The sequence below is a fragment of the Homo sapiens genome, chromosome 10, assembly GCF_000001405.40.
Source record: "Homo sapiens chromosome 10, GRCh38.p14 Primary Assembly".
NCBI lineage: Eukaryota > Metazoa > Chordata > Mammalia > Primates > Hominidae > Homo > Homo sapiens.
The window spans coordinates 95,175,731-95,188,938 of NC_000010.11; the positions used below are offsets into that span (position 1 = coordinate 95,175,731).

At 39.9% G+C, this 13,208-nt stretch overlaps 1 long non-coding RNA gene and 1 pseudogene across 1 annotated transcript in view, besides 3 other annotated features; one reads left to right on the forward strand and one right to left on the reverse strand.

Annotated features, from left to right (window-relative positions):
• The window catches only part of LOC107984257 (uncharacterized), a 125,247-nt gene that overhangs the window by 72,199 nt on the left and 39,840 nt on the right, over positions 1-13,208 (reverse strand). The window lies entirely within an intron of this gene.
• Positions 7,604-7,903: a silencer, noted in NCBI's record as "silent region_2637". NCBI's record gives its function as "represses an Ori minimal core promoter by ATAC-STARR-seq in GM12878 lymphoblastoid cells {active_cell/tissue: GM12878}" and the evidence as "EXISTENCE:reporter gene assay evidence [ECO:0000049][PMID:35858748]".
• PAWRP1 (pro-apoptotic WT1 regulator pseudogene 1) lies at positions 7,918-8,489 on the forward strand (annotated as a pseudogene).
• Positions 8,094-8,423: a silencer, noted in NCBI's record as "silent region_2638". NCBI's record gives its function as "represses an Ori minimal core promoter by ATAC-STARR-seq in GM12878 lymphoblastoid cells {active_cell/tissue: GM12878}" and the evidence as "EXISTENCE:reporter gene assay evidence [ECO:0000049][PMID:35858748]".
• Positions 8,444-8,493: a silencer, noted in NCBI's record as "silent region_2639". NCBI's record gives its function as "represses an Ori minimal core promoter by ATAC-STARR-seq in GM12878 lymphoblastoid cells {active_cell/tissue: GM12878}" and the evidence as "EXISTENCE:reporter gene assay evidence [ECO:0000049][PMID:35858748]".

Consider the following 13,208-nt stretch of genomic DNA (forward strand, 5'->3'; position numbering starts at 1 on the left):
CCTTCTGTGTGAAATGGGAAAAATAAAGTTTCATTTTTCATTCAGTTTCTGTCAATATTTCATGAGATAAAACATATAAAACATCCAACTTGCTTAAATGTATGATTATTCCTGTCATTATTAGTAGTGGGATCAATTTCACTATTATTGTCTATACAGTTCTGTGCCTAAAACCTACAAAACAAGAAAATGTTAACTCTAGAAAGTGCTAGTGATTTGTAATTTTTATATCATTAATTATAACCCTGCTTAATCGCACAAGGCTTTTTATATGGCGGGTGCTCAATAAACACTTGCTGAATCAATGAATGTGTGCTCCGGAGCCACACTGTTTAGATTCTCTTCTCCTTTACCACTTATTAGCTGTGTGATCTGGGAAAGTTAATCCACCTCTTTATGTCTCTGTTTCCTTCTCTATAAAATATACATAATAAGAATCACTAGCTTATTAGGTTGTTGCAAGGAATTAATAATTTGGCACATAGTAGGGGCTTGTTAAATATTAGCTGTGATGATCTCCTTCCAAGTCTTCATTTTCAGAGCCACACACAAGGCTACAGTGCCAGCTTGTGACCCTAGAGTGTAAGTGCATATGATCGCCAACTATGTTCTCTTTCCACCCCAGGTCCAACACTGGGTAGTTAAGGACTGGAGGTTTCTCCTACATCTGCCTTCTTAGTGGCCACCTAAAGACTTTTGTATTTTCCTCCTCACATCCCCGCAGATGGGGTCCAGGTTGCCCAACACAGCTGGGTGATCAACAGGGCAGTGACCACCTGTGCCAGCCCTATGAGGTAGCTGAAGGATCACTGTTCCTTCCTTCTCAGGCTCTGGGCAGATGCCAGGGCTGGGGTGACACATACCCTCAAGTTTCTTGCTTTGGAGGGTCACATTTTCCCTTGGCAAGGTGGGTAAAGGTCAAAGGGAGCCAGAGACCTGTGACCTGCCTGTGCCATGGGCCCAAACTATAAAGACCTGTCTTAGAGAGCCTCTCTCTGTTTGGTATCTAGGTTTATATATATATGGTGTCAGGAGTGGGATTTGAACAAGATCACCATTGGAAGGAATCAGTGATTCCTGGAACCTATATGGAGCACACAGTTGGGCTCTTTGACCTTTTCACTTTCATGGCTCACCTTTCCTTTCCTGGTGAGTGTTCTCTTAGATTACGCCTTCTTCCTATTGGTACAGGCTTTTTCACTTGACTTAGGATTTGGTTGGGATAAGGCTGCCTTAGTAAGCTTGCTAGCAGGTTTAAGTGTAATAATGTTAAATGATGAGTTAATGGGTGCAGCACACCAACATGGCACATGTATACATATGTAACTAACCTGCACATTGTGCACATGTACCCTAAAACTTAAAGTATAATAAAAAATAAATAAAAATTAAAAAAAACAGAGCCACTAATTTTAATCCATTTTTCTAAGTCAAGTAACTCAGGAATGGAAAACCAAACATCATATGTTCTCACTCACAAGTGGGAACTAAGCTATGAGGATGCAAAGGCATAAGAATAATACAATAAACTTTGGGGACTTGAGGGAAAGGGTGGGAGAAGGCTGAGGAACAAAACAACATATTGAGTACAGAGTACACTGCTCGGGTGATGGGTGCACCAAAATCTAAGAAATCACCACTAAAGAACTTATTCATGTAACCAAACACCACCTGTTCCCCCCCAAAACCTATTTAAATAAATTATTTTAAATGGAGTTACTAATTTTTTAAAAATTCTAATAGAGCCAGCAAAGGCCATAAAGTTTTCATGCTTGTATGCCTAATAACAAAAATTATCACAGAAAGACTGCAAAACCCACAACCTTTTGCAAGTACACAAGAAATACTTCTACAAGGACATCTGCCCAGCAACTGCCTCTCCAACCTTGGACTGAACACACTTTCTATTGATCTTTGTAGCCAAGTATAATTATTTCCAAAACAATTAAGTAATCCTCCTCATGTTATGTAAAAACCTGTGTCTTCCTTTACCTCTGTGAGTGCACACATGTTTAATATGACAGGTGTATTCTCACTGCAACACTTTATTCCCAAATAAGTATTTTTTGTCTTAGAGAGCCTCTCTCTGTTTGGTGTCTAGGTTTATATACACGGTGTCAGGAGTGGGATTTGAACAAGATCACCATTGGAAGGAATCAGTGATTCCTGTAACCTGTGTGGAGCACACACTCGGGCTCTTTGACCTTTTCACTTTCATGGCTCACCTTTTCTTTCCTGGTGAGTGTTCTCTTAGATTAAGCCTTTTTCCTATTGGTAGAGGCTTTTTCACTTGACTTGGGATTTGGTTGGGATAATGCTGCCTTAGTAAAAGATCATACATCCATCCAGGGATGATAAAATACTTTTTGTCTTTTCTGGTAGGTCCTTTCTGGTATAAAGACAAGTGTCCTTCTGGACTGAGTACTCTTAGTGTCTACAGAATTTACATTCTGCCTGTATGTTTTCTCTGGTTTGCATGCCTAGTTTAATATTTAATTCTGTGTGCATGCCTATGTCAAAATTTTTGCAAACACTTTTATCTTGCTTTCTTTTGATTTGGTTGGACTCTTTTCCCTTGCAGAATGACTAGTTAAAAGTCACCAGTGAAGTCACCACCATCTAAAATACCCATGTAAACTCCTGACATTCCCTGATAGGATTTATAGAATTTTCTTTGCTCTCAAGAGATTAACAAGGAACTGAGTGGTATTCTCAAACATTAAGGGATGACAGGTTTTCTGACACTCTAGACAGCTACATATTACAGCCTGCTCTTGTGCACATTTCAAAACTGTGGGCAAATCACATTAAGAAATGTTCAGTGTTCAAATGGTCATTATTCAAAAACCTACAAGTATAGAGTTAACAGAGTCTTCTACGTTCTCTATCTCTGTTTTTTTCCTGCCTACTCTGAATCAGCTGACTTTTCTAGTGTTGTTAATATAAAACTCATTGCTTATGGCATTCCAGCTAAAAATTTTTAAAAATAAGTCTTAAAGGGCTTTTAAGTTAATGGCTTTACAAGTTACAATGGCTCCATGGTGAGCAACAACCTAGATACCTTTATAAATACACATTTAGATTTGTCTTACAATTATGTACAGTGATAAAACACTTAACTTACTTAAAAATTAATAATCTAAAAGAAAAGGAACTAGGTAAGTGTTTACAAAAGTTAGGCTCTTAGATCAAACAGGTCAAAATCTTAAGCTCAGAGCAATAATATGTTATCTCTGTCCAGCAAAAAAAATGTTTGCTTTTGTTGCCACACAGAAGCCAAAATGTAAAAGCGGAGAGAAAAAAGAAACTACTAAAATTCTTTTGCCCACATTTGCTAACCAAGCAAACTAAATCAGCAAACAAAAGATAGACTGGTTACTAATTCAATGCTACTTGGAGATTTTGTTCTTTCTTACACTATTCCACCAGTCCTAGTTAAAATGTACACATTGACAATTTAACCATAAATTTATTAGAAACTGAACAAAGGCAGAGAAAAGGGTGAAAGGCTTTTTTTTTTTTTTTTTTTTTTTTACTCAAACTGCTGTGAAAACTGCTTTACCCAAAATCCACAGCCTTCACCAGATTATCTATTAGGGCAAATAAAGTTTAGCCTCTATATGTAAACAGGTCCCAATTTTGTCAGAAATATAATTTGGGTCCAAATGTTTTATCAGCCAGTGAGTTTGTATTACTATCTCACAACCAAAATTCTAAAATAAAAGCGATGAGATTTTTATTTTTTGTGTGTATACATATGTGTTTAGATGTGTTCATATAGAAGCACATGTATCATGTTACATATTATGTCTACATGGTGAAATCTGGCATAGTCAGCCAGAAATTCCTTAAAGATAAATGAGTACTCATATAAAGTACAAAATATATAATAATTACCAAATGCCTTTTAGTTCACATGACTTAAATAAATCTTTTTATTATTATTTTATTTTTATTATTTGATTTTATTTATTTACTGAAGCTCATTTTTAAATTATTGGTAAAAATAAAAATGTCTTTAGAATTGTCAGCATATATTTCTGCCTGGGTTTACTGGTTACTTTAATATTTGTCTCCGATAGATATTTTAAGGTGTCAGGGTTTCACATGAAGGTTATACAACTGTAAGCCCAGGCTAAAACAAAGTGATTTTTGTATAATTATTTGATAAGCAAAACTAACTTAATACTGTTGCTTTAATAAAAACAGCTGTATCTTCTGAGTTGTTGGGAACATGCTCCTACATTTAACTTCAAGGTCCTTAATCAGGTGAACATTGATATTCACAAGCTGTAAAAATGATTAACAGGGAAATAACTTGAAATGAGATCGAGTTTTGTCTAATATCCCAGTTCTCACTGGTAATCCAGGTAAATGTTAGAAAATTAAATGTAAATGAGAAAAATGTCTATAAAGTTTTCATGTAACTTGATGTCTTAAAGTTACATTAAATAATAGATACTAATTAAATGTGTAGGTCATTTCCAAATAAGATTTTAAAGTTATGTTCTAGGGGACCAGGGGCCATGGCTCACACTGTGGGCCGGGGCTCACATCTGTAATCTCAGTACTTTGGAAGGCCAAGTTGGGTGGATCGCTTGAGCTCAGGAGTTCGAGACCAGGCTGGGCAACATAGCAAAACCCAGTCTCCACAAAAAAATACAAAAATTAACCAGATCTGGTTGCATACGCCTGTAGTCCCAGCTACTCGAGAGGCTGAAATCGAAGAATTACTAGAGCCCAGAAAGCAAAGGTTACAGTGAACTGAGACTGTGCCACTGCACTCCAGCACAGGTGACAGAGCCAGACCCTGTCTCAAAAAAGAAAAAAAAAAAAAGTGTGTGTGTGTATTATATATATATATATATTAGGGAATATGTTTGTAAAAATTATAAAATGGTTCTTATCTATAAAATACTGATAGGTGACAGACAATTTAAAATTTCTTACTTTCAGCTAGGCATGGTGGTTCACAATTATTTTTATTACAAAAATAAAATTTCTGTAATCTCAGCACTTTGGGAGGCTGAGGCGGGCAGATCATCTGAGGTCAGGAGTTCCAGACCAGCCTGGCCAACATGGCAAAGCCCCATCTTTACCAAAAATACAAAAAATTAGCCAGGTGTGGTGGCGCATGCCCATAATCCCAGCTACTTGGGAGGCCGAGGTGGGAGAATCACTTGAACCCGGGAGGCGGAGGTTGCAGTGAGCCAAGATCATGCCACTGCACTCCAGCCTCGGCAACAGAGTGAGATTCCGTCTTAAAAAATTAAGGAAATTTTCACTAAAATTTAAGGTTACTAAGAGTTAAAATTTTTAATTAGTACATATAATTCTATATATACAATGTGCCAAAAAATAAGGCGTTCTTGGTGAGAAAAAAATTATTAGAAAGTCATAAAAAATACATTTTATTGAGAAAAAGAATATTTTTATCGAATTTGGGGATCATTTAAAAGTTGTTTCACAGTAGCTAGAAAAGAACTAGTAAGTAGGAGACAGATGTAAAGAAAGTTATGGATATTAAGATGTAATTTTGGTAACAGAAGTCTTTCTAAAGATTGAAATTTGACATTAAAATACATTAATACAAAACAACAAAATAAGTTGGTCCCCTATGTTAGAATGACAGTTTGCTTACTGATTTGCTCTTAGTAAAATTTTAAGAGGTTTTATTTTTAATTCTAAAATCTTATTTAATAGAAGATTTAAACTAGTTCTAATTCTTCCTGAGATCTAACTAACTTCCCTAGTTTCAGATTGGAAATGCGGTGTCTTTCTTTCAGAATGGCCATTTCATTTCTAGAGGTAACATTTTTCTTTTTCAAACTTCTCAGATTTATATCCGAAATTCAACTTTCTCTGTACCACATTGCAGGTCATAAACCACTGCCTTCTGTTTTCTCCCCCTTTAAAAAGGTGTATCTTTTTGCATGGCCACAATGGTAACAGTGGTAGCTCTGTCTTTCAACATTTTTGTCAACTCCTGTAACATTTTTTCTCTGGTTCTAGTTCTGCTGTTATGGCCTGACACTGAAATGGTTAGCATGAAGGTCTGGAAAACCAATGTTTTCCTCCAACATAACTTGAATCTGTACTTTTGGCTTTTCTTCCTATGTCTAAATTGTTGTTCCATGTAACCAGGAAACTTCCCATGCTGTTACTAACAGCCATGTATTCCCTGGCTCATGGTACTAATTTCCTTGTTTACATTCCTCTAAAATACAGTGTACACTCATATCCCCGTACATACTCTTCCTGTGTCTGATTAAATTCAAGTACCCTTTTTGATTACTCAGGAAAACTAAGCTTTAAAAGGGTTCGAGTTTTCATATCCACATAACTTTCTGTATAGCTTTTAAGTCTCTGGTTAAATGACTATTCTTTTAACAGTGACCTGTGATTCTGTTTTGATCAAATGTTTTCAATCTTTGACAGGTTTCCCCAGAGTCAAAAATCCTAAATTAAGTCTTAAAATTAACTTCGGGACTGTTCAGCTGGGTCCCTGGAGAGTCTAAAGAATGGATCTCTCACCTTGTAGAGATATTAAATTATTAGATTTGGTAGACTGTATGAGCGGGCATTGTCAAATGTTGTGATACTGCATGGGAGAGCATTGTCAAATTATGTGATATTAGATCCCACTTCAGTTACATTTATAGGTATGTTATTGACACGCATGTTCCAAAAATTATATAAACTTATAAAAATTTAATGATTCATAATTTTGATTGTTACGCTAAATATTTGCTAAAGTTACATTTGTATAAATATGTTATTAATGCATTCTGAAGATTGTATGAAATTTATAAAAGCCTGGTGGTCCTGATGTGATGCTGTCAGTCATGATTCTGGTTATTGTCTTAACATGCTGCACGTAAGAGAAGTAACTAAATTTCCTTGTCAATTGGGAACTTTCATCAGATTTTCATCATAGCTATTCTGTTTCCATCATCCACAGTTCTGCTTTGAATTCGAAAAATATTTGCGATCAGCGATAGTCCAAATTTGCTTTTCATGGAAAAAACTCTTAACAGGTCCTCTTGAACACAGGTTTCTGATAACTTTCAGATCAATAAACTACCCCAGCCTTTACCACTATGCAATATAGGCATGTAAGAAACTTGTACTTATACCCTTTAAATATATTAAAACAAATGTTTTAAAAAAATAAACTAAACACAAATTCCTAGAACTCTAATAAACTTAAGGGTTCAAAAAACTGCTAAGCAAGATCAAGCAAAACAAAAAATCTATGAAATTAAGATAATATTTTTATAACTTTTATTTAAAACACTGTTGGTTGTATTCTAGATTTAAGAAAGGTTTCTCACAGATGTTATCTATAATTTACATCAGTTTGGTAAAGCACACTTGTAAACAAAGGTGGAAGCATTTGGTTTTTCTCCCTACTTGATCCCTCCAAAATTTGGAAACTATTCACAAATATTCTAATTTTCGTTTACATATCGGCTCTTTATAAGCAGGATAAAATCGGAAATATTGGTTATATTATCAAGGCTTTGACTGAAACATCATATTTAAGAATATGCATAAAATGCCCGGATTCAAGAGTTTCCAGCCTTACAGTGAGGGGAGAAAAATGTCACTTCCTGGCGGACCTGACAACCTTAGAACTTTTCGGGGAGAAGCTTGGCAGGGAGGGGACCTGGCAGCTGCTCCTGGGCAGGAACCAGAGGGCAAAGTCCGTGGCGACCCTCGGGCCTGGCGGGGACCTTACGCTTCCCGGCGTCTTTCCCTCTGCCCCGCCGGCTGCTGAGGGAGCGGCGGCCGCCCTGCGCCTGGAGGTCGTTCCCTCGCCTCCTCCGGGCCGCGGGTAGCGAGAGGCGGCGGCGGCCGGAGCCGGTGTGGGCGGCCTGAGGCGAAAGCCCGGCCGGCCCCTAGGGGAATGAAACAACCACCGGCTACCAGAGCAACAACGGCCTCCGCGGCTGCACCGCCGACTTCCCGGAGGAGCGAAGGCGCCCCGCAAAAACACGCCGCAGAGCGGAACCCGGGCCCCGCCGCCCCAGCAGGGGGCAGCAGCGACGCAGACAGGAAGCCCAGGTCCTGGGCGCTGGACACCTCGGCGGCCTCCGCGACCAATGAGCGCCACACCAACCTCCAGGCGGCGCTCCCACCGCACCTGCCGCCGCCGCCGCCCCGGGGCGAGAACTGCGCCGTCGGCCCTGCCACGCTGACCCGTGGGGCCCCGGCCGCCGCCCCAGGGTGACGAGGAGGAGCAGGACGGGGCCCCAGAGAAGGGCAAGAGCTCAGAGCTCGGGCTCCAGTGCCAGGAAAAGGCCAGGAGCAGAAGATGGAGAGATGGAGAAGCAGCAGGTGCGGAGAAGCGGCGCTCCACGGGCTGGGTCAGCATCCGCTGGCGGATCTTAGATGACTTTGAAGATGAGGAAGCAGGGCAGAAAGAGCGGAAACGAGAAGGTGCAATGACACAACGGAACCCAATGCAGAATCCAGCCCCAGGACTCAAACGCTGGCTTTAATTCCAACTCACACCCCGTGCCCCTAATCAGAGAGGATCAGGGGAGATGGAGGACCCAAGGAACCCTGGCACCTGAAGGGTGGGAATCTGAGGCCAAGACTGATTGTGGGAAATTGTGGGAATCAGGAAAGGAGGAAGTGAGGCAGAATGGGGGGACGGCGGGGGTGGGGGGATGGCGGGGAGCTGGGCTAGGAAGGATTAAAAATCAGAAGCTCAGAGGCGAGTAGATCATCTGACGTCAGGAGTTCGAGACCAGTCTGGCCAACATGGCAAAGCCCCGTCTCTAAATAAAATACAAAAAAATAGCCGGGCGTGGTGGCGCGCGCCTGTAATCCTAGCTACTAGGGTGTGCTGAGGCAGGAGAATTGCTTGAACCCGGGAGGCGGAGGTTGCAGTGAGCCGAGATGGTGCCACTGCACTCCTGCCTGGGCGACAGAGCAAGCCTTGTCTCAATAAATAAATAAATAGTTAGAACCTTAGGAAGGATCCAGAGGGGAACTGTCCTTAGGAAGGTGCATGCTGGGGATGAAGGAATTGGTTTTAAGACTCAGGAAGTGAGGGCAAGGGAGAGACGAGTGTTGGGGGTGCAGTGGGGTGCTAATGCAGCAGCCAAGCAGAAGACTGGAGGAAAACAGAGCCCTTCTCCTCCAACTCCAGCTGCTCCTCTGAGTCCCAGGCCACCTGCTCCTGTGTCTGCCAACCTACTGACATGTCTCCCAGCCCTGCTGGAATGCTGTTCCTCCTGATCTCTGCCCTGCCCCAGACCTTTCACTAACCCCACCACCCCCACTGTCCAGGTCCTACCACCCCACTGCCCCGACCATAGCCTGCCCCTATCCCAGATGCCTCTCCTTCCAGCCTCTTGCCCTAGGTGACACAAAGGGGACCTGGACATGCAGGTGAAGAGGGTGTTCTTCTGGGTCCTCCTGCTCAAGTATCCCGCTCATGCAGTTATGAGTGTGAGTAAATGTTGGATATGACACAGATTCTATTTCTCAAGCTGTTTCACACTGTGGTTTACCTAACAGTGTTTTTGTGGAATCATCTATGGGGATTTGGTCCTCCCTGCAGACCTCAGTGCAGATTTCTTGAGCAGCCTACAGGGGCTCTGGCCCCACCTGTCCACACCAAGTTCTGGGTCCTGCATGCCCTGCTTGGCCCAAATACAGCAAGGTTGACAGGATGGAAAGCTGAAAATGGTGACTTATAATATCGAAAAGTAAGGATTTCACGGCCCAGTGAAACAGAATGGAGAACCCAGAAATAAATCCTTGCATTTACAACCAACTCATTTTTGACCAAGGCACCAGGAACATACCTTGGGAAACAGATGGTCTCTTCAATAAATGGTACTGGGAAAATGAGACACGTGAAGAATAAAACTAGACTTCTATGCCTCATCATATATAAAAATCAAATCAAAATGAATTAAAAACTTACATGTAGGAAACTATGAAACTACTAGAAGAAAACATAGGGGAAATACTTTAGAACACTGGTCTAGGCAAAGATTTCCTGAGTAAGACCTCAAAAGCACGGGTAACGAATGCAAAAATTGATAAATAGAATTACATCAAGCTAAAAAGCTTCTTCACATCAATAAAAATAAAAATAAAGTGAAGAGACAACCCACAGAATGGGAGAAAAATTTTCCAAACTATTCATCCAACAAGGGATCACTAACAAGAATACGTAAGAACTCAAAAACAAAAATTCCAAATAATCCAATTTAAAAATGGGCAAAAGATTTCAATAGACATTTCCCAAGAGAAGATACACAAATGGCCAACAGTTATATGCAAACATGTTTAACATCACTAATCATCAGATAAATCCAAATCAAAACCACAATAAAATATAATTTAACCTCAATTAAAATGGCAATTGTCAAAAACTCAGAAAATAACAAATGCTGAAAAGGACACAGAGAAATGGGAGCGCTCAAACACTCTTCGTAGGAACATAAAATAGTTTATCCACTATGGAAAACTGCATGGAGGTTCCTCAAAGAACTAAAAATAGAACTATCATATGATTCAGCAATCCCACTGCTGGGTATATGCCTACAAGAAAGAAAATCAGTATGTCGAAGAGACATCTGCACTCCCAGTTTATTGCAGCACTATTCACAACAGCCAAAATATGAAATCAACCTAAGTATCAACGGATGAACGGATAAAGTGTGGTACATATATATGAAAAAAAAAGGATTTGTGAATATACTAAAAGCCATTGAATTGTATGCCTGAAATGGGGAAGTTGTATGCTATATGAGTTCTATTTCAATAAAGTTGTTTTTTAAAACATAAGGAATCTTATTTAATAATCATCATGGGCATTCTTGGAAGCCCTCTGCAAGATCCTGTTTCAAGTTCTGCAAGTTTGGGGTCCAACCTGTGTGAACCTTGTTTCCCTATGAGTACATTATTTATGTTTGTGAAAGCTTGACAGCTCCAAGAACACTAATACTTAATCGTTGGTTTTAGCACTAGTCTGTGTAACCAAATACCACCTGTACCCCCTATAACTTACGGAAAAAAAGTGAAATGTCTTTTGCACTCTGTTATTTCGAGTTTGTTGATTTTTAGCAACATCTGGGTCATCCCTTTTCTTCTTCTCTGGCAGGCTGCCCCTAGGGATTCCCTGTTCAGCCAGTTTGATGAGAGCCCTAAGAAACCCATCAGATACCAAAATAAATGGCTATATTCTGCTGGAATGTTTGTAGTGGGGGAATCACATATGACCAGGAGGTGAATTATTATTGTCATTTCCTTTGTGAAATGTGTCACTTGTCATCTCTTGATTTACCCAAGGCAGGGAGAGAGAAAGAGAAAAAGGGAGTTGATCAGACACTTCCCATTAAGATAAGTATTAATAAATTTCTTCTGATCACCATGGCCCAGATACCTATGGAGGGATCTGGAAAGGTCCAGTGTTCAGGAACAACCCTATCATTTAGGCAGTGTTAGGCCAATTGAATACTTCCAATCAAAAGAACCTATTCTGTTTCCTTTGAGTCTTTTAAAAGGGCAAATGTCTTGAAAACGTTTATTCTTAGAGTTTTGGGGGTTTTGTTGTTGGTTGTTGTTGTTGCTTCTATCTTGGCTGCATTTTTCATAGGTCATCTAACCTCTCTTTTCCTAGCATCTTTGAGCATTTGGATAAATTAAGCTGTCTTGCATTTCCCACCTCCACCCTTGCTCATGGCCGCATTCGCCTCTCAAAATTCCCCTGAGCCTTCTGAGGACTTTTTTTTTAACTTTTATTTTAGATACAGGGAGTACATGTGCAGGTTTGTTACATGGGTATACTGCAATTAAGTAGTGAGCATAGTACTCAGTAGGTCGTTTTTCAACCCACGCTCCTCTCCCTCCTTCCCCACTCTAGTACACTGTGTCTACTGTTCCCATGTTTATGTCAATGGATGCTCTATGTTTAGCTCCCACTTATAAGTGAGAAAGTGCGGTATTAGGTTTTTCTATTCCTGTATTAATTTGCTTAGGATTATGACTGAGACCAACTCTTATCCTTCACGCTGTTAAGTAGCTCTGATCTTCAAGATTAGCCAGAAGGAATCTGTACACTCTGCAAGTGTTTCAGTGGCACTTTGTTTATACTGCTTATGGGGCATTTGAGTTCATTGCCTTAAATTGCAGGTAATTTGTTATAAATTTGCCTCCTCTAGAAAGTCACAGGTTTTGTAAGGGAAAGAACTGGGTCTTGTCTGTTGACCTATCCTATAGGATATTTCCGTATTGGCAGCAGCTCATATTTCCATGTATTTTGTGCATCACTTGAGCAGAATTTGTCCCACTGAAATAATACCTACATGTCTTTTTAAATCAAATTAGTAATTCCTTGCTGAGGTTGATCTATATCAGTACAGTTAAACACTGGATAAGGGGTTCAACATAAAGATTACTTCCAATGTTGACAGTCTAAGATTCTGTAAAATTATTTGTGAGGGTGCAAGAAATGTGAAACTACCACATGTATAAGAATGTATAAGAATGGAGTGTACCACATGTGGTAGAATGTGTAGTACGTGGTAGAATGTATGGCACACTGTTTGACACTACACTATGTGGTATATCATAAAAATGTGACACTACCACATGTAAAGAATGCTATGACCTGTGGTCTCAAAGGTTAAAAAGGTTTATATCTCACCCTTCTTCATATATTTTTTATTTCTTTCCCTTTCCATATTCTCTTATTTAAGTTTTTTCATAGAGAAAAGTATATTTTCTCTCCGTCTCCCCTCTCATTTTCAAGCCTGATACCTTAGGAAATTTTAAATTCTCTCTTCTTAGCTTTCAAATTAATTGTTTGTGTATCTTCGCTCTGCTGTACTTTTCAGTTTCTCAGAGTTCAGACAACCACCATGAGACCTGCAGCTTTTGTGGCCCTGTTGGATCTAATCTAGGTAGGAGAGTCCACTATGGTTATCTGTGTCCAGACAGTTGCCAGATGGAACCAGAGTGACCATGACTGGGAATGCTTTCCCAAGTAGTGACAAAATGGCCTTTGTCCTTCTTGTCCATTTGATCCCCATCTTTAATCATTGTGCTCAGAGCTACTGCTCCCATTCAGAAAGTGGCTGCTCAAGGACAGCATATTTTTCCCAAAAGTACACACTTTACATGCCTTAGCAGTGAGTGCTGAAGATAAGTGTTTTAAGAGTTCAGAGAGGTTTTATATGCAA